Consider the following 24,011-nt stretch of genomic DNA (forward strand, 5'->3'; position numbering starts at 1 on the left):
TGCTAGTTAGACCCAATACCCAACCACAGCTTTCATCTTCCAGGACTCACAAGCAAATTTTAAAGTCAACTCAGGAAAGGACGCACTCCAGGAATGCTTTTTACAAGCAGCAGACTTTCTGACTTGGTATCAACAAGGATGTTGGAGGTTACCGCCTGTTGTTGCATGCCCCTAGCACTCACAAGACTGACCTTGACACAGAAAACATTTCAGAGTGACAAGATCTAGGGTGCAACGAGAACCACATCCTTGAAAAATGATGACACGGGAGCCACACTCCTTGGCAGGGAGCAAAGGTCTCTAAGCCCCGAGAGTGGCTGTCGAGTAAGAACTCAACAGATGCTGGAAAGCAGGAGCCTGACTCAAAACTAACTCATTCGTCTTCAAGGCCTCTCAAGTGCAGCAGCAAAGCATCACTTACCTTTATCTCTTCCAAACAACGCAACACAAAAAGCTCTAAATACCTTCATTCTAAGAAGAGCTTTAATTCTTCTCTTAAAATTAACTGAAAAGATTAAGCAACACAAAATTAAACGAGACAGACCTTTATCCCTGGCGCTGCACTGAGACACCACGAAGCATACTCCACACGCAGTGCGTCTTCCTGAACGTAAAACAGCCTTTCGCACAGGGAGCCGAGTCCTGTCACTATAACACCCAGGGGTGGCCGCTTTCTTAGGGTGTAAGGGCGGCTCTAACTGAGGGGGCACAAAGCTCATCCACTTCAGGTCCATTTCCGAGAAACATTTTGGGAAGCTCACTGCAGCGTGGGAAAGGGACTGTGCTCCTGAACGGAGGAGGTGCTGCCACAGGCCTCAGGCAGCAGCACTGGGCACTGGAGGATGCTGGTGAGGCTGGATGCAATCGTAAGCCCAACCTGATGTCTACCTTAGAAATGACTGCCTGGCCCCAGTTAAGCAACCACGGCCTCCCAGCGTGCCGCTCGGCCTCACCTGCGATGAACTGCTCATACTCGATGACGGGGATGTTTTTATTGAGACTTGGAAGATCAAAAAACTCAGACCAGGGAATCCGGACCTGGTGGATGTCAGGACTCTGCCAGTGATAGAGGCGGCCCCATGGAGGCAGGACAAGCACCCACTCCTCCGTCTTCAGCAGAGTCTTCAGGAGAGAGGCGATTCGGATATAGACATCCCTGCGCAGGTTGAAGCCTTCCGGGGGGTTGACGTCATACAGAAGATACCTGAGCAGGGAGAAGGAGGACCACAGGTCTCAAATGCTGAGGTTTCTGCACGGAAAACCCGACTGCTCACAAGTCTCAGCGCGTGGCCCGACTCTAGGCACTTAACAATGGTTCCTAGTTTGTGAAGGCAGTGAGTGGCCTGTTTCTCTATGACCAGTTACTTACGGAGCCTGTAAGCAGAAGCAGCAGACATGCTAACATCGTTTTAACAATTAGCAATAGTTCAACACTAAGGCAGAGGAATCCCAGTGACTGGAACCCAAGAATCAGTACCCACATGGTTCTCAAACTGTTTGGTTTAAAGACCCCTTTACACTGGAAACAATGACTGACGGCTGGTTATGTGCACTATGTCTATTGATACGTCCTATGTTAGACGTTAAAGCTACAAGTATTTAATTCAGCTAAAAATAAGAAGCCATTACATGTTAACAAAAACCACATATTTAAATAAAAAATAAGTGTATTTTAAAAAATGAATTAGAAGAACTGTGATGATGTTCTTAATTTTTGCAAATCTCTTTTGGGTTTGGTGACAGCTGGATTCCCATACCCGTTTCTGCATTCAATCTGTTGTGACATCACAGATCAAGTGGTTTCTAGGAAAACTCCACAGTGCATTCATGAGAAGTGAAAAAGGCGTATAATACTCTGGTACTACTATTAAAACGGCTACAAAAGCTCAGAGATCCAGGACACACTTTAAGATCACTGCCCTAGAGGAAGGACACAAAGCGCCCCAAGGCACAGACAAGTCCCCAAGGCACAGACAAGTCCCCAAGGGCTACAGAAACCCTGTCCCTGGCGCTCTCCTTTCCCTGCTCTGCGCTGGTTTTCCATACTCCCATCGTCGCGAGTGAAGCTGCGTGCAGCGCCCAGGCCTGCGAACGCCACGAGGGGCCGTGCACACCTCTGCGTCCAGGCCCCTCCCGGGGTCCGCTTGGAGATCCCACAGCCACAGGGCGGCCGCGAAGCTCGTCTTGGCCCTGAGAATTCACTGCGGAGCGCCCGCCCGGCACTGACTCCCGGCTCCGCACACCCAGGCCTGGACCCGTGTCACTTGCAGGGGCCTCCGGAGCCAGCCCACGCTCAGCCTGAGCAACCCGGCCCCCTTCCTGGGCTCCCGAGGCTGCGCCCCGGGCCTCGCAGACGACCCCGCCTGCAGACCCGGGCCGCAGTGACGCAGCCTCGACTACAGCCAACCCGCTGGCCCGACCCTGCCCCCAGCCCCCGCCCCATCCCATCCCCCAGACTCCAGCCCGGCCCCGGCCCCTGCCCCTGCCCCTGCCCCTGTCCCGTCCCCGTCCCATCCTTCTTGGCCCCGGCTCCCGCCCCGCCCCCATCCCATCCCTCGGGCCCCCGTTCCTGCCCCCATCCCATCCCACCCCTCCTGGCCCTAGCCCCTGCCCCGCCCCCATCCCATCCCATCACCCTGGCCCCTGCCCCGCCCCCATCCCATCCCATCGCCCTGATCCCTGCCCCGCCCCCATCCCATCCCTCCTGGCCCCTGCCCCCTGCCCCTATACCATCACCCTGGCCCCTTACTCCGCCACATTCCTTGCCCCAGAACCCTGACCCCATCCCATTCCCCTGACCCCTGCCCCCTGACCCCGCTCCATCCCATCCCCCTGGCCCCTGCCCCATAACTCCGCTCCATTCCATCTCCCTGGCCCCGGACCACCCTCCATCCCGTGGGCCTGCCCCTGACCCCATCCCATCTCCCTGGCCCCTGACCCCGCCCCGCCCCCATCCCATCCTCTGACCCTGCCCGGTCCTGGAACCCCAGCGTTGGCACCGTGGACGCGCGTTTACCGTCTGCGGGAAGCCGCCCCCGACAGAATATCGGCCGCCGATTGTCCGGGCCAGAACTCCTGGCCGGAGGCAGAAGCCGGAGGCCAGGACACTGCCCCCAGCAGCAGGAAGACGAAGCTGAGTGTCGCCATGGCCCCGGGCGGCCACGCACTTCCGGCGGCCGCGCCCCGCCCCGGAACCACGCCCCGCCCCCGTGAAATGCGTTCCCAGTAGCCACGGCAACGCCCAGCTCCGCCCTCCCCGCGCATGCGTTATGCGCCATCACCGGCAAGCAGGGGCGGGAGGGGGAACTGCGCGTGCGCAGAGTCTCCGCCCTCCTGACCGCAGCGGCTAGAGGTTCCATTGCAGACCCGGAGGCCGTGGCTGTGGTTCGCGGCGGTGCTGTCGCGGGCGCCCTGGCGCAGCCCACGCAGGGGCTCCTGAGGGTCCGCGAGGCCGGGAGGTCCGGGGGTCGGGAGGTCCCGGGGTCGGGAAGTCGGTGGACCCTGCAGGCCAGTGGGGAGGGTACGCGAGACTGGGGGCCGGGAGGGCTGACGGCTGGTGGCGCGGGGCGGGTCCGTGGGGAGGAGGCCCGGGGCTGGTAGGGGCGGGAGGGCTGGACGGCGGGGGCGGGGCGGAGGAGGGGGTCCGTAGACGGGGTCGGCGCCGGGTGCTCTCGCCCCTCTGGAGCTGGGGTCGGGGCGGGAGCCGCGCATGAGAGCCTGGGTTTCTAGTCGGGGGGCGCCGTCGAGCTCCACACCTGCGGCCTCCTGGGTGCCCCCAACCCTGGAGCCCCGGCGAGGGGGCACCCGGGCTGAGGCCTGGCCCTCCAAGGAGCCCTGGAGGGACTGTGCTGCTAGGGCGCGGGGCTCGATGGGGTGATCTGGAGACCTGGGGGGATCCGGGGCTGCCGCCCCTGCGCTGCCAACCTCCCACCCCGCCCCTTCTGCGAGGCGTTATTAAAGGTCTGGTTTCGGGAGCCAGGTGCGTGCCCGCCGCCGCCGCTCCCCGCAGCCTCCAGGCAGCTCCCGCTGTTCCCCGAGGGCACCAGCACTGGCCGACCGACCTGGCTTGGGGCGCGGCGCTGGCAAACCCGGCCTTCTGAGGGGACGCCACGCTGACTCTAGTGCAGGCAGCCCCCAAAACGGTATAATTGGACGAATTTCTTGAAGGATGCCAGTTACCAAAAAAGAAAATACTAATGCTTATTATCTGTTAAATTTGAGATCAATTTGTTATCAAATTTTCTCACACAGAAAATTCCAGGCCCAGAGGGCCAAGCTGGTGAATCCTACTTAGAGAAGAAATAATAGGAATCCAGCCACTCAGACGATGGACGAGGAGGGGCACTTCCCTGCTCGATGTATGGGCCAGCATTGCCTTGATAGCAAAGTCAGACATCACCAGACAGTAGAACCACAGACCAATGTCTTTCATGAACCAAGACACAGCATTTAAAAAAATTAGCAAATGGAATTTATATCTGCCTATTGTTTACAAAAAAAGCCAAACTTTGTAAAATACTTGAAGAGATTTATTCTGAGCCAAATATGACCCATGACACAGCCTCAGGACGTCCTGAGAACTTGGCCCAAGGCGGTTGTTTTACTGCTTGGTTTTATTCATTTCAGGGAGACATAAGACATCAGTCAGTACATGTGAGGTGTGCATTGGATTGATCCAGAAAGTCAGGACGACTCCAAGTGGAAAGGCCTCCAGGTAATAGGTGGATTCAAAGATGTTTCTGATTGGCAGTTGGTTGAAAGAAGTTACTATCTGAAGGCTTGGAATCAATAGAAAGGAGTGTCTGGGTTAAGAGAAGGGGCTGTGGAGACCGAGGTCCTTATTATGTGGATGAAATCTCATAGGTGTCCGCCCTCAGAGGCAATACATGGCAAATGTTTCCTATTCAGACCTTCAAAAGGCACTAGACTCTCAGCCAGTCTCCTCAGGATCAGAAAAAGAGCTGGAAAGGGAAGGGGAGTCTACAGAATATGAATTTCCCCACAAGACACCGCTTTGCGGGGCCATTTCAAAATTTGTCAAAGAGATATATTTTGGGGTAAAATACATTGATACTTTGAGGGCCTGTTGTCACGTGATGCTATACCAGCGTCAGATTGGAACTTGGTGTCTTGCTGCTATGGAGTCTGCTGTCAGTCTGGTCAGCTGCACCTGAACTCCAAAGGGAGGTGGGTATAATGAGCCATGTCCAATCCCCGTCCCTTCCTGGCCTGAGCTCATTTTTCAGGTTCTTCAGAATCCCCCTGGTGGAGATGAGGGATCCATTCAGTGGGTTGGGGAAGCTTAGAGTTTTATTTTTGATTTACACTATGTGAAGCAGAAATTAAAATACTGTAACCCTGATAGGGTTATTTTAAAGCTGCAGGAATCAAGGCAGGTTGCCGTGGGTAAGAGGATAGACAGGCAGGTCATGTAGCAGGACGAGCTGCGGACAAAACCCCTCAGACACCAGGTTAAGGAAGGATTTGGCTTTATTCGGCCGGGAGCTTCGGCAGACTCGCGTCTCAAGAACCGAGCTCCCCGAAAACAGAGTTCCTGGCCCTTTTAAGGGCTTACACCTCTAAGGGGTCCACGTGAAAGGGTCGTGATAGATTGAGATCACATGTGGTTAGAGTGGGAGGGGGGGTAATCTTTTAACCTCAGGCCTGGTCATCGGTGGCACCGGCTGGTCTTGCTGCTGACTTCATTCCTGTTGTTTTTCAACTTTTACTTCATCCTTCTCTTCAGAGACAGGAGACAGTAAAAGAAATGGCCTCTCTCCTCTGTCAGAGTGGAGTCCCGAGCTCCCAGAAATGCCACATGATGGACAAACGCTTGGGGGAAAAAAAAAAAAAAGGAGACCTCAGTCGGACACAAAAGCAGGAGCTTTAAAAGAAAAAATAAGAGATAAGTTGAACTTCACCAAAAAATAAGCGTTTCTGGTCTTTGAAAGACACTTAAAATGAAAAGGCAAGCCATCGATGGGGAAAATACTCAGAATAATGGATCTGACAGAGGGCTGTATCTAGAATATATGAAGATATTTTAAAATCCAGTAATTTGACATAAAGATGGTAGCCAGCCTGACACACAAAGGAACCCGAATGGCCAATGGACAGGAAGGGAACCCGTATGGCCGATGGACAGAAAGGGAAGTGAACGTGAACATCTCATTGGGGATGCCGTTATCACCACTGGAATAGTCAAAAACATGGACACCAAGTATTGGTGGGTGAGTGGAATGGCGGGAACCCACATACACGGTCGATGGGAGCTGCACCCTTTGGAAATCATTTCACAGTTTGTGCTCCATCCTGGCCAAACCCACAGCTGGAGTCTTTCCAAAAACAGTGACGGGAGTTTCCACCAGGGAGTGCCTCAAACCATCCCGAGATGGGGCTGGTTGGGATTCCAGGGAGAGGCACTCGTTGCCAGGGTGATCCGTCCAGAGCACTTCCTAGGGGATCTGGCATAAGGAGGGCTGCAGTGTATCCTCAGGACAGATAGGACAGATAGTGTATCTTTGGGACAGACGGCAAGATGGGGATTCCACCCAGGTCTGTCTGCAGCGAGTTGATATGAGAGTTTAAGGAATTTGGACCAGGGCTGCTTTGTTTCAGGGTTTTGGGCAATGACCTAAACACCTTTATCAGTGCCTGGGAATGCTCAAGGCCCAGCTTGAGTTCAGGCCTGCAGGGAAAACCTGCAACTGGCCGGGCTGCAGAGTGGTCAGGGCACGGAAAGCCAGAAGCTGGGGACACACCTGCTGTATGATCCAGCCGTTCGTCTTTACCTGGGAGAAATGGCACCACCTGGCTGAACATAACTTCTTACACTCCCATGAGTCCTCCTGGACAGGTGCTGTGACCTCGTGCAGCCTTGGGGACCCTGACACTCCCACGGACAGGCCAAGGGGTTTGCCTGGGCCCTGTGGGCACAGAGCCCCTTGAGATGGGTTTCCCTATGCAGCCCCCCACCCCCCACCGGGGACCCATGGCACTGCAGCCCTCACCCCCCCTCTAGGGACCCACAACACTGCAGCCCTCGCCCCCCTCCGGGGTCCCACAGCACTGCAGCCCTCGCCCCCCATCGGGGACCCACAGCACTGCAGCCACGCCCAGGCCACCGCCTCCAAACACAGGGCCGCTGCTGTTTCTGTGAACAGATACTTCTTGCAGATGTCAATGGTTAATGGATGGGGAGGTGACCGCCCAAGCAGAAGCCGACCCTCTTCATGAAGGGGCCACAGGTCACCCCGAAGCAGAAATCCATAGAACAGCCAAGGCCACAGCGGAACCGAGCAGGCCACGCCTCTGCCTCTGGGCCGCTCAGGGCCAGGCCTCCCTGACCCCACTGGCTCTATTGTGAGGACTCAGGGTGGAGCTCTGCTGGGCTCAGTGGCCTTCACAGCCGGGGTCCACAGACCCGGGTCCTACGGGCAGTACTGTGCTCACCTAGAGGCCACGGTCCATGCCCTGTCTCCAGCAGGCCCAAGTCACTTGTCCATGGCGAAGGCCCGGCCTTGCTTCAGGCCCCGGGCGCGCTCCCCCTGCTCCCCCTGCCCACCGTTTCTTCCCAGGTGACAGAGGCGGGAGAGCAGGCGAGCCACGTGCCGGGCGCCGCAGCAGGGGGCACTCCAGGCTGGCGCCCCTCTGCCTCTCCGTGGGCTCTGACCTTTCTTCTCCCTGCCTGGGCAGCCTCCTTCAGGTTGGGGAGTCTTTTGTTGACCCCTGGATTAAAGTCCTAATCAGGAATGACCCGGAAGAGGTCTTATGAGGCTTTCCTCAAGAGAAGAAAATCTGTCCCTGAGTATCAGGAAGTGGCCCCTTTCCCTGCACCGCAGTCTTCTGTGACCAGCGGCTCACACAGCGAAGGAGGGGCTGGCGGCCCCCACAGGCCACTGCCCCGAGGCCGCCACGAGAGGGCAGGAGAGCCCTTCCTGGGAGCTCTGTGCCACGGGGAAACGCAGCCCCGCCAAGCACAGCATGGATGTTTCCAGCAGGGAATGAAGAGAGAGGCCCCAGCACATGAGAGAAGAGCACACTGGGCGGCCCCTGTCGGAGCCTCTCCTGTCCCCAGCGACCCCTGAGAGCAGGCCCTGGGCCTCTGCGGCCCCTCCCGGAGCCACTCTTCAACTGCTGACCTGCTCCCAGCTCTTCTGTGCCCCGCCCAGCTCCCTGCAAAACCTCACCTGAGGGGAAGGAGGCCCTGTTTGGGCTCAGACGCAGCAGGTGCAGCTTGTGGTCCTGGGGCCACACCTGTTAGAGCCCATCCTTCTACCCCTGCTGGGCCCTGAGTGTCGTCCGTCCCCACAGAACTCAGCAGGGTCAGGTCTGGGCACTCCAGGCCGCCAGCCCCCTGAGTGAGCCCTGGGCCGGAGGTAGTTGTGGGTCACAGGCACCCCAGCCAGAACACCCACAGTGGGTAGATGTGTGGGGACCGGATGTGGGTCCTCTCCTGAGAGACGTGCAGATGGGGAGAGGCTGGGCAGTTCTCAGCACAGCTGGAGCATCTACCTGTCACCACCTCGGAGCCTCCTGGCCCCGTGGGGGCGGCCCTGGGAGCAGGGTCGGCAGTGAAGAGCAGAGAAAGGCAGTTGGGGATGTTGCCACTGTCCCCCGAGACCACCCTGCCATGGAGACGAGGGAGCTGTCCCTTCGCGGAAGGGGGCTGGCCAGCAAGAAGGACAGAGAGTGGACTGGCCGAGGACCGCTGAGCTCAGGACCCAAGGAGGACTCTTCTAGGAGACGAGAGAGCGAACGCCAGGGACCCTGTGCAGGCCTGCTCCTCCGTTTGCAAGGTGAGTTACCAGGTTCACGTGTTTGGAGTTTCTGGACTCATTGCGGAGTTCCACCCCTGCACGTTGCGGTTCCCCAGTAATCAAATCCTGGCTTTTGTGCCTGGAAGTGCACAGGGAGGGGACAACTTTGTGAGTCAGTGGCAGGGCAGGGAGTTCTGGTTCTCCAGAGCCAGAGGCCGTGCTCAGAAGGATTTCTTAGCAGGAGCCTTGGGGCCCCCAGTCAACACTTCCCTACGGACAGCCTGGCCAGCTCTGTGCACGGAGCAGGCGCCCGAGGGTCCCAGGTCACCAAGTGACCAAGTCGTGAAGGCGCCCAGGGTTTCCTGGGGGTGCGCTGATCCCAAGGAAGCCACGTGTGGTCAGCATGGGGGAGGGGACCAGCGCCCCGGGGGGCCTGCAGCACAGCAGGGCCTGCCCTCCTGGGTGAGACTGGCCGGTGCCTGTGGGGATCTGGGGGGCTACAGTCAGGGCTCTGTGCTCCCGAGGGCCACGCCAGCCCACCTGCCCTGGAACAGAACCCGAGGCTTCTGCCTAGGGGAGTACCTGGGCACCTGCCTCCTGTGCTGCCCTGGACACATCCCAGCGGCTGCACATAGGGGAGGCACAGCCTGGGCTCAGGGCCAGGGTCCACTCTGTGGGGATACTAGACCCGGGGGTGACAATGCCAGCTCAGAACTTCCCCCCACACCTGGGCTCCTCCAGCCTGGCCTTTCCTGGGGAAGGGAGGGCCTGTCCTTCCTCAGCACTGTGGGAGGGAGGCAAGGCCTGCGGTTGAAGCGTCCCCAACACGGGGCTCCAGGAGAGAAAGCACCACATCTCAGGGAATGAAAACAGAGACGGGGCCGCCCAGTGCACTCGGTGGCTCGGAAATCATTAAAGAATGTTCTGAGCCCCCGATTTTGGCTGTAAAAGGGACTGGCCGGCTTGTGACCGCTCCCCTGTCTGTGCCTTGAGACGGGAGTGTTCAGCGTTGGGGGCAGCTTTCCCTCCAAGAGGAGCTTCACAAACATCCGCTCTCTGCGGGGCCGCCTCTCCGTGGCCTGGGGCCGCTGTCGGAGGAAGGCTCTCCAGCTGCCGTCATCTGGGAAACGTGGGGGGCGAGCAGGGGTCATGGATGGGGCTCACTGGGGACTGTGAGAATCTGTCCCGCAGGACTTTCTGGGATGGAAACGCTGGCAGAGGTGAAGCCTGCGTCATGTGCTTCACTGAACCCGGCTGCTTATTTATGTTCGGAGGGCTGGTTTCAAGGACTCCTCGTCTCCCTCTCCAGTGATAGCGTCAGCGGAAATGCAGACGGGGACGGGGCTGCTGGGTTTCCTCCCTGGAATGAAGCACAGCCGGAGGTTTTGCTGATTCACCAGCAGGCCCTGACCGCTGAGTTCAGGGTAACAAATCCACATGGATCCTGAGCCCGCATAGCTCCCTGGGCCTCAGCATAAACATCGTAAACCTCCGGGCCCTGGCAGTGTCTGTTTCATCCCCTCCAGAGCAAGTGCAAGTGTGAGATTTAGAGATTCTAAGAGGGGAAGGGCCAGAGGTCTTGAAAACGACCTTCATTCGTTCATTCATTCGAGAAGTTTGCGAGGGCCTCCGTGTCCTGCGTTTAGTGGGGCCTAGGACGCAGATGTGAAGGGCGCTGCTCTCAGGAGCAGACAGAGGTGGGGATGAATCAGTACACGCCCACCTCGGGCCCACAGGGGAGGATGCGCGGAGCTGTGGGTGTGGGGAGGAGACCCCTCTGCGTCATGCTGACGGTGTCGGCAGAGTCGCCAGCTTCTGCAGGAGCGGTACCTGTGGGTTCTTCTGTGACTTGTTTAACCGCATCTTTTGCCCAGTAGTTAGTCTTTTCCTGTTGGGACACCATGTTGGTAGTTTGGAAATGGTTTCTTCCATCCATTGCCTGCCTTTTAGCTTTGTCGATGGTGTTCTGTTGTAAATTTTGGTGCACGTTTAATGTGAACAATGGTTATGAGACGAGTGCCATGAGTTCCTGTGTGCCTGTCACCCAGCCCGGCCACAAGAGGTGCTGGGGGCAGTGTCCACACCCCCCTTTCTTAGGACGCCTGAGTCTCAGATGTGACTTATAGGGTATTTCTTATGGCAAGACGGTTAAAACAAACTTCAGCGTCTCGTCTGTCCTTCTATGGCTGTGGCTTCTGATGTTCTAATGGCGTTCTCGTCAGCCGGGGCTGAGAACAAAATAACATAGACTGTGGGGCTTAAACAGCAGAAACTTACTTCCCACGGTTCTGGAGGTTGGGAGTCTTGGATCACCGTGTAGCATGGTCAGGTTCCTGGTGAGGGTGGGATTCCTGGCTAACGTAACGAAGGCTCCCTCTCCTGATACCGTGTCACTGGGGGTGAGGCTTCAACACAGGAATTTTGGGGGGACACATCAGCATTCACTCCATCACAGGTGGTTAGCCCTTTAATCCGCGGGAATTTTGTTTGGGGTTGTGTGAGATACGGGTCTAACGTTTTCTTTTTCAAATACGTAGCCAGTTGTCACATCATTTATTGAAAAAGGAATCTTTTCTCCACCGACTGACATGAAATGCTACCATCATCGTAAATAAAATTCCCGTAAATACTTGCTGTCTCTGCTGTCTCAGTCCTGACTCACGGGCTGAGTTCTCTTTCTGCACAGTAGCACTGGCATTAACTGTGACAGCTTTACAGCAGGCTCCCTCCCCGAGGCCGTTCAGAAGCATTCCTCAGCGGGTCCTACACGTTTCCTCTCCCATGTCAAGTTTAGAAGCAGTGTCAAGACCCACAGCAGTCCTGCGGGAGTTTTAAGGGATGCACGGAGTTTATGGGGACAGTTTGGAAAATTGACATTCATGTGACTTAGAGTCCTACTACTTGAAAATGGATTCCAGCTCTCAACGAATTTAGAGCTTTGGCAAAATTTTTAAGATTTCTTTGATGTCCGATGTGCTCATTTCTTGGTTTGTTCTTGAGTATTTTGTGGATTTTTATGAAATCCACAAAGTTTTTGTTATAATGAATGGGACACTTTCCCATAAAATGTTGTAATTCTGTATTGCTGTTTTAGTAAACACTGTTGATTGATGTATATTGATGTTACACTTGGTCACTTGTAATAGTTTGTCCGTTCATTATTTTGAACTTTTTAGGTAAACAGTCATATAATTATGCAAATAATTATAGTTGTGTCTCTGCCTTTCTAATATTTATACTTTGTGTATATTATCATGTTGGCCAGGACTCAAGCGTCTTTCTCTTGTTTCTGACTAATGCGAATGATTCTAATGCAGGGGTTTCCAAACTGGTGGCCGGGGGGCCAAATCCAGCCAATGGTCTCTTCTTGTAAATAAAGTTTTATTGGAACACAGTTACACACATTTTTCTACATATTGTCTGATGGCTACTGTCACGCCACAGCAATGCTGTTAAATAGTCCAGACAGAGGCGGTATTGCCCGAAAAACCTAGAATATTCACCATCTGAGCTTTTACGGGAAAATTTGCTAATATCTGTTCTCATGCATTAAATACAATGTTTGTTACAGGTTAAGGAAGTTTCTGACTATTTTTAGCTTTCTGAATATCTTGTGGTTGTGTGTGCTTTAAAATTAGGACTAAATATTAAATTTACCAGTTGCTTGTTAGGGGCCTATCTTTTGAGATGCCCAAAGTTTCCCTTTTTTAGTCTCTTCATGTAGTGAGTTGTACTAACAGATTCTCTAATGTTGAACCGTCTTTGCTTTCCGGAGATAGACTTTACTTGCTCCTGGTGGATTGGATTCTGTTTGTTAATACTTTTATTTTTGGGTAATTACATCCCTATTATAAATAATATGTCAGCATCATTGTGTGTAGATGTGTGTGTGTTATTCTTGCCATTAGTTTCTCAGGTTTTTGGTTAACTATTGATATGGTTTGGATCTGTGTCCCCACCCAAATCCGATGTTGAATTGTAATCCCCAGTGTTGGAGGTGTGGCCTGGTGGGAGGTGGTTGGATCATGGGAGTGAATTTCTCATGAATGGTTTAGTACCTTCCTCTTGGTACTGTTCTCGCAATAGTGAGTTCTCGCGAGATCTGGTCGTTTAAATGTGTGTGGCACCTCCCTGACCCTCCTGCTTTTGCTCTGGCCATGTAAGACGCACCAGCTCCCCTTTCACCTTCTGCCACGATTGAAGGTTTCCTGAGGCCGCCCCGAAGGTTCCCATACAGCCTGCAGAACCATGAGCCAATTTAACCTCTTTTCCTTATAAATTACCCAGTCTCAGGTATTTCTCTATAGCAATGTGAGAATAGACTCATACAACTATATATTACAGAATGAATTGTGATACTTTTGTCTTTGTCTGTGCCTGGAAATGATAGTAATTCTTAGTAAAAATTCACCTGTATCAAGTTCTTCCTATTGCAACAAACACAATTCTATATATTTTACATGAGTTAAGTCCTTAACCTGGAAGTCATCCCTGTGAACTAGGTATTGCTTTCGTGTCCATCTGACAGATGAAGAGGCTGAGAGTTTAAGTAGTCTGCCTAAGGTCACCAGCCATGGGGGCGAAGATGGAATTTGAACTGAGCCGTTGGCCTTCAGAGGACAGGTTCCTAAACGGTCATTCTGTCTCTCTGTTGCAGAGATCAGTCCTGCATATTCCTGTAAAAAACTGCCTGAGCTTGGTGCTTTTTTAAAGGATATCATTTGACTACTTTTTTTTTTTTCTGTTTCCTGCCCATGTCCCATAGGGCTAATCAGATTTTCTATTTCTACTTGAGTCAATGTTATACTTTATATTTTCATTTTTGTTGTTTTTAAATGTTACACTATTTTTTGAGATAGAGTCTCGCTCTGTTGCCCAGGCTGGAGTGATCTCTGCTTATTGCAACCTCTGCCTCTCAGGCTCAAGCAATTCTCCTGCCTCAGCCTTCTGAGTAGCTGGGATTACAGGTGTGTGCCACCACACCCGGCTAATTTTTGTATTTTTAGTAGAGATGGGGTTTTACCATGTTGGCCAGGCTGGTCTTGAACTCCTGACCTCAAGTGATCCACCTGCCTCGGCCTCCCGAAGTGCAGAGATTACAGGCATGAGCTACTGTGCCCAGCCATACTTTATATTTTCTAAGAAAATCATCTGTTTAACCTGGCTTTTAAAATGTGTCAGTATAAGCCAGAACATGGTGGTTTTATAATTGAAAAAACCTAGTGTCTGCCTGTGTCTTCCCCGAGGTCTTCTGGGTGGAGACTGGGAAGCAGGGGCCAGTCCACAAACACACCTCATGTTACCGTTCCCTGTAGGAACCCTCAGCTCTGTGGCCATCTCAGATTAACATCCACTCCTCCTGCAGAATTTGAAAGGAGAGTTGCTATCACCAAATCCCTTCAGGTCTCAACATTTACCCAGGTTACCTTGATTCCAGAGATGGCTCTTAACTTGATTTCTATAAACCAGTAGAGAATGTGTCTGATGGCACAGAGGAAAACACTGTCAACACGAAGTTCCTGAACAGTTTAAAGAGATGACACAGATGTTTTTTAAAGTAACCCATCTAAATCACTGGAAATGCCCCTTTCTCCCTATTTTGTCAATGGATGGAAATGTGTTGAGAAAGGTGCTTATTGTAAGAGAAACAGAACAGAATTAAAGCTACTAATACCAATTCAAAATTGGGGAATGGCTGGGCGTGGTGGCTTATGCCTGTAAGCCAAGCACTTTGGGAGGCGAAGGCGGGAGGATTGCTTGAGCCCAGGAGTTCGAGACCAGCCTGGGCAGGATGGCAAGACCCCGTCTTTACAAAAAAAATTTTTTTTAATTAGCCAGGGGTGGTGGCAGACAACTGTAGTCCCAGCTACTCAGGAGGCTGAAGTGGGAGGATGGCTTGAGCCGAGGAGGTGAGGGCTGCACTTTTAATTTTTTTTTGTTTGCTTGCTTGTTTGAGATAGTGTCCAGCCTGGATGACAGAGCAAGACCCTATCTCAAAAAAAAAACCCACAAAAAACAAAACTGGAGGAAAATCCAGAAAAGTAGGGGACATCAACAATCAACACACTGTAAAACTGTCATCTCAAACACGGTAATGTGTGCGTGCCCCTCGCTGGGGCTGAGTGTGTGTGACACTGCGCAGGCTTACAGGCCCCTGCACGTTTCGGCGTCTGTCCTCTGCGGATGATAACGTGCTCCTGCCGGAGCCGCTGGGGCGGTGTCTGCACTGGGAGGAAGCCCGTTGGGCTGTCATCATACCCTGCTCTGTGGGAACCTTCCAGACGAGACGGTCACTTCGGGGCAGACATTTCCTAAAGGGGCTTAGAATCAAAATCCAGGAATAAGGACATGGAATGCTGAGTGGTTTCACAACCAAAATAGAGTTTATGTCAATATTGAATATTAAACGACAACAATTAAAGCCAGCCGGGACTGAACAGCTGCCAGTGCGCAGCCTGGGTGGGGGCTCAGGACAAGGGGCTCTTATGGAGCCCCTCGAGACCCCCAGGAGGTGGACACTGCCCCCAGCTCTTGGTGGAGCCCTTGGGCTGCAACAGCAGGAACTGAACCCCAGGGGCTTTGGGGTTAAGAGAAGAATGTCTGGACGTTAGCGGCAAAAGCAGGCGGGTGGGGCAGTGAGCACAAGCGGGGGTGCCCCTGATACTGGCTACCCCTCCACATCTATCTCTGTCCGGGTCTGCCTCTGTCCTCGGCACACGGCACGCGCTGCTCCGGGGGCGGCCGCGCCACAGGTGAGCGGAACACGGTTCGAGGAAGGTGGGCCGGGCACAGGGCGGCCCGTGGTTGCAGGTACCAGAGCTTGCTGGAGCTGGCTGGGCTTTGAGGATCAATCACCTGGTTCTGCAGATGTAGAAGTATGTAAAGTAATCAGCACTTTCACCAGGGCAGGACTCGGATCCAGGCCAGCAGCTGCCCAGCCCAAGGCTCCTTGCACCACCGTGTGAGCCACATACTTTCCGGATAGGAGAAGGTCCAGAAGGTGAAGTCTGCGCCCAGGACCTGCAGAGGTGAGAGGTGAGAGGTGAGGGTCAAGCATTCCATACCCCGGGTTCCCTGGGGCCCCGCCCCTCTGCACAGTGACAGTCGTTTGGGAGAGGTTTCCCACAGCTGGCCTTCCCTTCAGACCACTTGAGACTCCCATCGATGGAATGTTCATCCTCTAACTGCACAATTTTTTGCAAACCACAACTTTCTATCTTAATCTCATGAAACTGGGAATCCCAGACCATGAGAAAGTCAGGAAATGGCTTTGAACACCGGCAGGCGCTGCACAGCGCTGGGGGAGGGGGACGAGCCTGGGAACTGTCTCTGCTGAGGATCTCGGCCCCACGTAGCCCGTCCTTCAGACCCTCATGCGGTTCATCCCCTTCTGTGGCTCTTTTTCGGAGCCCCCCTACCCAGAACGTCCCACCCCAAGGCACGCAGTGGGTGCCCCTGCGGGGTCTCAGGCAGCTCCTGACTTCCAGTGAGTCCTGGGCGCCGCCTGCAGGAGGTGAAGACGCCAGGACCGTCGCTCGGGCCTCTCGGGTGGCTCTCGGGTCAGAGGGCCGCCCTACACCCTCACCTGTCCCAGAAGCCCCCCACACCCGCAGCTGTCCACTCCCCTCCGGGGGCCTCTGCTCTTCCCCTGCTGCCTCCCCCAGGACTTGCTCCTCCCTCATCCTCCATCCTCCTCCGCCTCAGCATCCCGTTAGCTCAACACCACCCTTCAGCACTGCTCAGCCACAGGCAAAGCAGAGTAAAACCCGAAACCGCCCCGAGATCCCCACGTCTCCAGTCGGACCCTGCTTCCCGGAGCGCCGCCCCCGCCTGCTGCCCGGTGTCACCCGCCTCGTGCCACCCCCGTGGCCCCGGCCGCCCCTGAGGCTCCCCAGGTGGGGGGCATGTGGCCGCCTCCCTGTTTTCGCTGTGGGTGATCCTGTGACTTCATCCGCCCCAAACTCGCCGGCTCCTTGGCAGCAACTTGATTTGTCTTTTGTGGGGCAGGTGCTCTCTTCCCCCACGTGGGTCCTGCTCTCTGTGGCCTCCCTCGAGGTCACCTGCAGGGGCCTCTGTAGGTTGCATTGAGAGGGGCCTGTGGGTCCTGCCCCCCATCCGACACTGAGCGTTGTAGGACTCACATCGGGGAGCCCCTGCCACGTTTAGGCCTCACAGCAGCCCTGGGGGTGGACGGGTCCCACAGGTTGGCCACAGCCCCCCAGTGCCTCCCTGTGAGCCATCCTGACCGCCAGAAGGCCCCCGGTGACACCAGCACAGTCTCCCTCTGGGTTCCCACACCCAGGCCACAGGGCACTCAGGGGCAGGCTCGGCAGGGAGTCTAGTCCAGGAATTGGTACCGACTTTTCCTGGCTTCTCGAAGGTTCAGCTCTGGCCAGGGTCAGGCCCAGGAGGCAGAGCAAAACCCAAAGCTCCCTGAGACCCCCACCTTTTCTGACGGGGCCCCCGGGGACCTCGGGGTATGGAACGCTTGACCCTCGCCTCTGCCTCTTTTGAGCTGCAGTCTGGGGCAGGTGTGCGCCTCCCCGCTCAACCCAACAAGAGGCTGATCTAAGCCCCGGCCCCATGCGGGGCTGCATCCCTGCAGCACGGACCAGATGCAGTCCTGGCTGTGCCCGGCACCTCCCATCTCGCAGCTGAGGGTAACCAGGGTGGTGTGGGGCTTGTCCCAGGGCTGGCGGTTGCTGAGGAGAAGGGACACACGTGCTGACTGGGAAATGCAGGCCCGGCTCTGACGGCGAGGTCCGGGTTGCGGTTTCCACGTCTTCGTCACGAAGCCTCGAAGTGCTGCCTGTGCTTAGCAGTGAAAATATTTACTTGGAGATGTTCAGTTTCACAGAAGCCAGGAAGGGGCGGGGGTGGTGCGGAAGCATTGTTCCCCAGAGCACGCGGGAGGCGGCCCAGCCCTCAGCCAGGACGCTCCCCCACCTCACCCTCGCTGGGCTGTGGCCCTGGGGACGCCACCACTGGCCTCACACCGTGGAGCGTGGATAGGCCGCTCTGGCCTGTCTGCAGGGGAAATGGCTGTCACTTCCATCAGAGATGACGGACACAGCAGGGCCTGTCTCTGCCAAAACCAGAGTCGAGGCAGTCCCCGGCAGCCGGTGTATGGGGAACCCCTCAGCTTCCGTGTGGAGGGTCAGGGAGGCTGGATGGCTTTTCCTTCCGTTCCTGTAGGCCCGAAGCCTTCCCCGGATGCACTCATGACCGGGGCCTGGCCAGCAGGCGTCCGGGAGTCAGCGGCTGCTTGGGGAACCAGGGCCCCACTCACACGCGGGAAGGTGATGGTGGCAGGCAGACTGGTAGCTGAGAGCGAAAGGTGTGGCGGGATCCGCCTGGCTGCTGCTGGAGCCCCAGGCTCGTGAATCGCCTCTGCGTCCCGTCCCCTGCGTTGGGCAGCTTCACCTGCTCATCCTGCTCGGCCTGGGTGTTTCTGCTCCTAAGCGCCCCCCTCACGGTGGTCTTGGGAGGCTGATGTGAGAGATCCCCGCTGGCTGCAGTCTCCAGGGAAGCCGGCATTCGGGGCACACGGAGGTCCTGCCTTGGTGCCCAGCCTTGGGACACCCCACAGTGAATGCCTCCTCTCCACGGTCTCCATGTCCCTGAGCTCCTGCTTAGGCCCCCAGAGCTGGCACTAAGGGTGGATGCAGCAGCTGGTGCACATGACAGGGACGGCAGAGCCCATCCGAAGGGACATGCCACCTGGAAGCCACCTGCACCGGCTCTGTCTGGTGTCTGACGTGGGAAGGACGTGCTGGAAGCCCATGGGTGTGTGGGAGGCCCGGGCCTCGAGCCATGTCTTGGTGCGTGTCGGGGGGACGTGTTCTGTGAAGATGCCGCAGCTGCCTCACCTCCTTTCCATGTGCGGGGATGGGTGGGCAGCGTCCTTGCCAGGGGTGTTCCCGGCAGAGGGAGGAGAGCATCACCCTTGGGCCAACACCGCCACCAGCAGCGGCCGGACCATGGAGCTGAGCATCAGCTGGACCCAGGGCAGCGAGGGGCTGTGGGCGGCACCTGTGCAGCAAATGTCAGCACCTGGTTATGAATGATGTTTAACGACAGAAGTGTGGTCACAGCGAATTCATCACCCTTGGAATTTGAGGCATGCTCTGTCCAGCGCAGTGTCAGGGCTGAGTGGGGCCCCCAAAATCCATATACTGGATCCTCAACTCCCAGGACCTCAGAGTGGGACTGGATTTGGAGGTGGGGCCTTTAAGGAGGTGATTACAGTAAAAGGGAGTCACTGGGGTGGCCCTGTCCAGTCTGACTCCCAAGAAGGAGATGAGGACCCAGAGCGCACAGAGGGGCCCTGGGAGGGTGGGAGGAGCCATTGACTGCCAGCCAGGGGGGTCCCGGAGGCCCTGGCCCCGCAGCACCTGGACAGTGGGCCCCACCCTGCAGGACTGTGGGAGAATCGATGTGGGACGCCAAGCCCCCGTTCATGGTCCTCCGTCCCAGCTGCCGAGCAGACTAATCTGACCGCAAGGTTTGGGCCACACTGGGCTGGGCTCGGCTCGTTATTGGTCAGCCCTTGGGCACTGTGAGTTCAGCCAGAACTGCCTCCCACATCAACCATCTCCCTGTAAACACGGACCCTCGGACAGCCCTTTCCTGAGGCATAATCCCACCCTTCAAGGTAGAGCCCTCAAGGGCGTTCCCACCTCAGCAACTCCCCCAGCCATCACACCAAACATAGCCCAGACCAAAGCCAGACGCTCTCTGAGCTCCAAGGACCGGCTTGGGCCCACACCTTCCCACCATGTTTACCCCTGCTGGTGTCATCTGTTCAGTTCCAGCCAGACCACAGGGCCTCTCACCTTCCCTCCCACTGTGGCTGCCATCCTCTGGCCTGGACCGTGTCACCCTTCCACCCTCCTGGCTGAGCTTGCCCACCTTCTTGGAACGCTCTCACAAGCCCCCCTGCCAGAAGGCTCTCCTCTGGACCACCTGACCCCACAGGCCCCTCCGCTGCTCCCCTGGCCACACCTCTCCGTGAGGCTGTCCATCTGTGGCAGCCGTGGTGTGGGTGAATTTCATCATGCTGACACTCCTCCACACCTGCTCCGTGCCTGGCAGTCATGGTCCAGGGGCTGGATGCCCAGGGTAAAGTGGGGAAGAAGGTGATAGGCACCCAGCCACATGCTCCGTGCCCACAGATCCCTGGGGCCAGCCAAGCTGCAGGTGCCCTCCCTCAGGTGAGAGTCCACTCGGCCTTGTGATTCCTACAGAATAGCCCTTCTCTCCTTCTCCTGTGTCTCTCCAGGGGCCAGGGAGGAGATGCTAGGGGCAGAGAGCCAAGGTGGGGTCTCAGCCTGGGAGCGATGGCACTGCTGTGGTTTCAATGTCTGTGTTCCTCCGAAATCCATGTTGAAACTTAATCCCCAGCGCAACAGTGTTCAGAGGTGAGGCCTTCGGGAGGGTTAGGCCGTGAGGGTTCCACCGTCAAGGGTAGGATTAGAGCCTTACGAAAGGGCTGTCTGACTGGCCAGGCCCCTTTTGCCCTCCTGCCTTCTGCTATGAGAGGACACAGTAACAAGGGGACCACCTTGGAAGCAGAGAGCAGTCCTCGCCAAACACCAAACCTGCCGGGGCCCTGGTTTCAGACTTCCCAGACTCCAGAGCTGTGAGCAGTACATTTCTGCTCCTTATGAGTCACCCAGTCACAGGTACCTTCTTACAGCAGCACAAAGGGGCCACGGCAGCCTGGGACCGCCCAGCCCCACCATGCTTCCTGCAGATGCGAGCAGCCAGGGTGCCAGCCACACAGGGTGCTTCTCGCTTTTAATTTTACTTTTTATTTCAAAACAATTTCAAATACACCAAAAAGTTGCAAGAATAGTACAAAGAGTACGTATTCTTCACCTAGAGACCTATTCAGGTTTTACCAACTGTCCCAATAATGCCTTTTTTCTTTCTTTCTTTTTTTTTTTTTTTGAGAAGGAATCTCACTCTGTCGCCCAGGCTGGAGTGCAGTGGTGCGATCTCAGCTCACTGCAAGCTCCGCCTCCCAGGTTCAAGTGATTCTCCTGCCTCAGCCTCTCGAGTAACTGGTACTACAGACATGTGCCACCACATCTGGCTAATTTTTGTATTTGTAGTAGAGACGTGGTTTCACCATGTTGGTTGGCCAGGCTGGTGTCGAACTCCTGACCTCAAGTGATCTGTCCACCTCGGCCTCCCAAAGTGCTGGGATTACAGGGATTATAAGACTTCATGCTCATCCTCAACCTGGAACAGTCCTCAGTCTTTCCTTGACTTCTAAGACCTTGACTCTGTGGAAAAGAGAAATACTGTCAGTTTCGGTTTATTTCATGGTTAGACGCAGGTTGTCGGTGGAGGGAGCTGGTTCATCTGGGTTGGGAGGTGGGCGTACCGATGTGTCCACTCCAGGGGGCATTGACCTTGACCATCTGGGGAACGTGGCGTCTGCAGGGGTCTCCACTGGAAATTCCTTCCTTCTCTGTCATTCATGCACATTTCGTGGGGACACTCAGAGGTGATGTAAAACCCCATTCTTCACTCCACGTTCACCACCAGGTTTGGCACTGACTGATGTTCTTGTTGCCTGAATTAATTGTGACAGCAACGGCTGCTGGGGGGAATTCCTCATGCGGTCACTTATCAACTGGAATTCTACCGGGGTGGGTGAGCTTTCTTTTTCCCCCATTTATTAATTAAGTATATTGACATCTATATAGAACCACAGAGTCTCATTTTATGCATGGGCCATCATCTGTTCCTGTCCTTCTTCAGTTTATTTTGTTGTTAAGTTTGTCTCAGCGGGGGACCCTTCAGGCTGGCATCTGTGTCTTTTCCATCCATGTTTCCTGGCATTTTCTTACTTTGCAGACGCACGCACACACACATTTCATCTGCAGATTCTTCTACCTATTTGTATTGGGAACCCTGCATTCCGGTGCTACCGAGGTGAATCTAATACCGTGTGCGCCGCTGTGGCTGCCGTCCTCTCTACATCGCACCTCCCGTCAGCCCCGCCGGCCTCCCTGCATGTGCTCACGTGCTCGGTCTCCTGTGCGTAACCGGTCTTCTGACCCTTGGGGCTCAGACCGGCCTAGAGGCTGCGTCCCCTAAAGCTGCCCGCTGTCCTGCTCCAATACCTCCTCCATGGAGCCCAGACCCCCACCGGGCACCCTCCCTGCCTGCGTGGGAAGGAGTGGGTCTTTCTGAATTCAGCTTTCTCTGAAATGAGGGTGGAGTCTCTGGTGGAAGGGGGGCCCTCGCTCTGCCGCACCCTCTGCGGGAGGGAGCGGTGAGGTGCAGGCTCTGCTGGTCCTAGGGCAGCTGTGCTCAGGCCAGGCAACAGAGGAAGGGGTGCCTACAGAGGCTGCAGGGTACCTCAGGCCACCCTTGCTGCCCCATCCTCAGGTGACATGGGGAGGACCTCGCAGGGAGCCTGGCTGGTCCACTGTCCCTCCTGCTTCATCTCTCACTCAGGCCCTAGGACTCTGCCCCAGCCAAAGCTAGCGTGGGCGATTCATGGCTCGCCGCTGCGGCAGCTGAGCACCATCAGAAGTGACCCCATTTGTGACTGTCTTGGCCTGAGAATGTTCCACGAGTGAGAACGTGCCCCTCCCTGCAGCCAGTGTCCCAGACTCCCCCGCAGCCCAGGCAGGGGCTGGGCTCGGGCGCTGACGCAACAAGGAGAGCGCTTGTCTCCGGGCAGCCAGGCGGCCAGACAGCCGGTCCACTTAGCTTCGCTGCTGCGGCCACAGCTGCCCATGGCACACAAAGGGCCCTTGTTCCCACCCAGCATGTGCTCCCGGCGCCCCCCCACCGACCTCTCCCGGACATGATTAGGTGTGGGAACTATTTTCCTTAGGGCTGCATTTGACATTTGCCGTTCATTTGGGAGGAGGCGTCTGAACCGAAGGAGCCCTCGCCAGCCTCCCCTCCCATTCCCATCTCAGTGCAGGAGGTTTAGGAGCAGGCGGCCCTGACATGCCTGTGACCCCAGACGGGCCTGTGCAACCCAGGCCTTCGTTGCCTTCCACTCAGAACAGGAGAGTCTGGCCCAGGAGGGCGGCGGGCAGAGAGGACGAGAGGAAGACGGAGCCGGGGTGCACAAGCACACACATGCGTGCACGTGCAAATACACATCAGGGACACACGTGCACAGACATGCTCCAGGAACATGAACGCATGTGCAAATACACACCAGGAACACACGTGCACAGACACACTCCAGGAATATGCATACTTGTGCAAATACACACCAGGAACACACGTGCACAGACACACTCCAGGAATATGCACGCATGTGCAAATACACACCAGAAACACACGTGCACAGACACACTCCAGGAATATGCATACTTGTGCAAATACACAGCGGGAACACACGTGCACAGACACACTCCAGGAATATGCATGCATGTGCAAATACACAGCGGGAACACACGTGCACAGACACACTCCAGGAATATGCATACTTGTGCAAATACACACCGGGAACACACGTGCACAGACACACTCCAGGAATATGCATACTTGTGCAAATACACACCAGTAACACGTGCACAGACACACTCCAGGAATATGCATGCATGTGCAAATACACACCGGGAACACACATACACAGACACACTCCAGGAATATGCATGAACAATACACCAGGAACATACGTGTACAGACACACTCCAGAACACACACAGATGGCAGATGTGCAAATACACACCAGGAATGCACACGTAGAAATGCACAAAAAGACGAAATGCTCTGTGTGGAACAGTGAAGACACGCAACCCATTCCCTAAGGACATTTACTCACATGTTCACGCCCACAGCCCAGCCGGCCAGCCCCAGCAGAGCTGCGGCCTCATGACAGCAGGGGCTTGCTGGGCAGTGGGACTTCAGGGTCTATCTCTCACCTGCCCCACTCACGGGCTGCCCGTGCCCTACTCTCGTCCTCGCACAGTGGGACCCAAGATGCATTTGGGCACAGCAGGAGGGAATGTCCTGGTGTGTGAGGAATGGCAGCCGGTGGGAGCTCCGTGAACTGCCTGGCCACAAACCCGCACTGGGAGCATTGTTGAAACTGCCCTCAAAACCACAGTTGAGAGCCGGGTGGGCCCTGGGAGTTTACAGTGTGCTGGGGCAGTGGGGAGAGCCTCTGATAAACACTGGAGGAGATTGCAAAATCGTGGGTCTGAAATGTGGAGCCGAAGTTCAGTTGTAGGCTGGGGCCTCCGGCGGGGCCAGAGTACCTGGGGCAGT

General features: G+C 55.7%; 1 protein-coding gene and 2 long non-coding RNA genes across 22 annotated transcripts in view, besides 7 other annotated features; 1 reads left to right on the forward strand and 2 right to left on the reverse strand.

Annotated features, from left to right (window-relative positions):
• Positions 1 to 3,171, reverse strand: part of POFUT2 (protein O-fucosyltransferase 2) — a 23,961-nt gene extending 20,790 nt beyond the window's left edge. For 9 of the 20 annotated variants that reach the window (XM_006723981.5, XM_011529504.4, XM_011529507.4 and 6 more), the window contains exons 1-3: positions 3,017 to 3,171; positions 954 to 1,204; positions 545 to 604 (exon numbers count right to left, since the gene is read on the reverse strand). In XM_006723981.5, the coding sequence (XP_006724044.1) occupies positions 545 to 604; positions 954 to 1,204; positions 3,017 to 3,147 (442 nt within the window). In that variant the 5' untranslated portion in view covers positions 3,148 to 3,171. Of the gene's footprint in view, positions 1 to 544; positions 605 to 953; positions 1,205 to 2,114; positions 2,220 to 3,016 lie in introns of those variants that run through there. The other 11 variants (NR_004858.3, NM_133635.6, NM_015227.6 and 8 more) reach the window with 4 other exon arrangements.
• Positions 3,098 to 3,627: a silencer, noted in NCBI's record as "silent region_13401". NCBI's record gives its function as "represses an Ori minimal core promoter by ATAC-STARR-seq in GM12878 lymphoblastoid cells {active_cell/tissue: GM12878}" and the evidence as "EXISTENCE:reporter gene assay evidence [ECO:0000049][PMID:35858748]".
• LINC00205 (long intergenic non-protein coding RNA 205) lies at positions 3,328 to 12,630 on the forward strand. The gene is made up of 3 exons (NR_026943.1): positions 3,328 to 3,520; positions 4,627 to 4,714; positions 5,747 to 12,630. It is a non-coding gene; the product is annotated as a long intergenic non-protein coding RNA 205 (long non-coding RNA).
• Positions 3,782 to 4,512: an enhancer, noted in NCBI's record as "H3K27ac-H3K4me1 hESC enhancer chr21:46708421-46709151 (GRCh37/hg19 assembly coordinates)". NCBI's record gives its function as "activates a minimal SCP1, AML or CMV promoter by ChIP-STARR-seq in naive H9 embryonic stem cells {active_cell/tissue: H9 hESC(naive)}" and the evidence as "EXISTENCE:reporter gene assay evidence [ECO:0000049][PMID:30033119]".
• Positions 6,941 to 7,449: an enhancer, noted in NCBI's record as "H3K27ac-H3K4me1 hESC enhancer chr21:46711580-46712088 (GRCh37/hg19 assembly coordinates)". NCBI's record gives its function as "activates a minimal SCP1, AML or CMV promoter by ChIP-STARR-seq in naive H9 embryonic stem cells {active_cell/tissue: H9 hESC(naive)}" and the evidence as "EXISTENCE:reporter gene assay evidence [ECO:0000049][PMID:30033119]".
• Positions 7,450 to 7,957: an enhancer, noted in NCBI's record as "H3K27ac-H3K4me1 hESC enhancer chr21:46712089-46712596 (GRCh37/hg19 assembly coordinates)". NCBI's record gives its function as "activates a minimal SCP1, AML or CMV promoter by ChIP-STARR-seq in naive H9 embryonic stem cells {active_cell/tissue: H9 hESC(naive)}" and the evidence as "EXISTENCE:reporter gene assay evidence [ECO:0000049][PMID:30033119]".
• Positions 9,482 to 9,988: an enhancer, noted in NCBI's record as "H3K27ac-H3K4me1 hESC enhancer chr21:46714121-46714627 (GRCh37/hg19 assembly coordinates)". NCBI's record gives its function as "activates a minimal SCP1, AML or CMV promoter by ChIP-STARR-seq in primed H9 embryonic stem cells {active_cell/tissue: H9 hESC(primed)}" and the evidence as "EXISTENCE:reporter gene assay evidence [ECO:0000049][PMID:30033119]".
• Positions 12,631 to 20,552: 7,922 nt separating the features above from the next.
• LOC124905040 (uncharacterized) lies at positions 20,553 to 21,342 on the reverse strand. Its single transcript, XR_007067907.1, has 2 exons — positions 21,151 to 21,342; positions 20,553 to 21,049 (listed from the first exon to the last, which is right to left on the reverse strand). It is a non-coding gene; the product is annotated as an uncharacterized LOC124905040 (long non-coding RNA).
• Positions 21,490 to 22,295: an enhancer, noted in NCBI's record as "H3K4me1 hESC enhancer chr21:46726129-46726934 (GRCh37/hg19 assembly coordinates)". NCBI's record gives its function as "activates a minimal SCP1, AML or CMV promoter by ChIP-STARR-seq in naive H9 embryonic stem cells {active_cell/tissue: H9 hESC(naive)}" and the evidence as "EXISTENCE:reporter gene assay evidence [ECO:0000049][PMID:30033119]".
• Positions 22,296 to 23,101: an enhancer, noted in NCBI's record as "H3K4me1 hESC enhancer chr21:46726935-46727740 (GRCh37/hg19 assembly coordinates)". NCBI's record gives its function as "activates a minimal SCP1, AML or CMV promoter by ChIP-STARR-seq in naive H9 embryonic stem cells {active_cell/tissue: H9 hESC(naive)}" and the evidence as "EXISTENCE:reporter gene assay evidence [ECO:0000049][PMID:30033119]".

This window comes from Homo sapiens, chromosome 21, assembly GCF_000001405.40.
Source record: "Homo sapiens chromosome 21, GRCh38.p14 Primary Assembly".
NCBI lineage: Eukaryota > Metazoa > Chordata > Mammalia > Primates > Hominidae > Homo > Homo sapiens.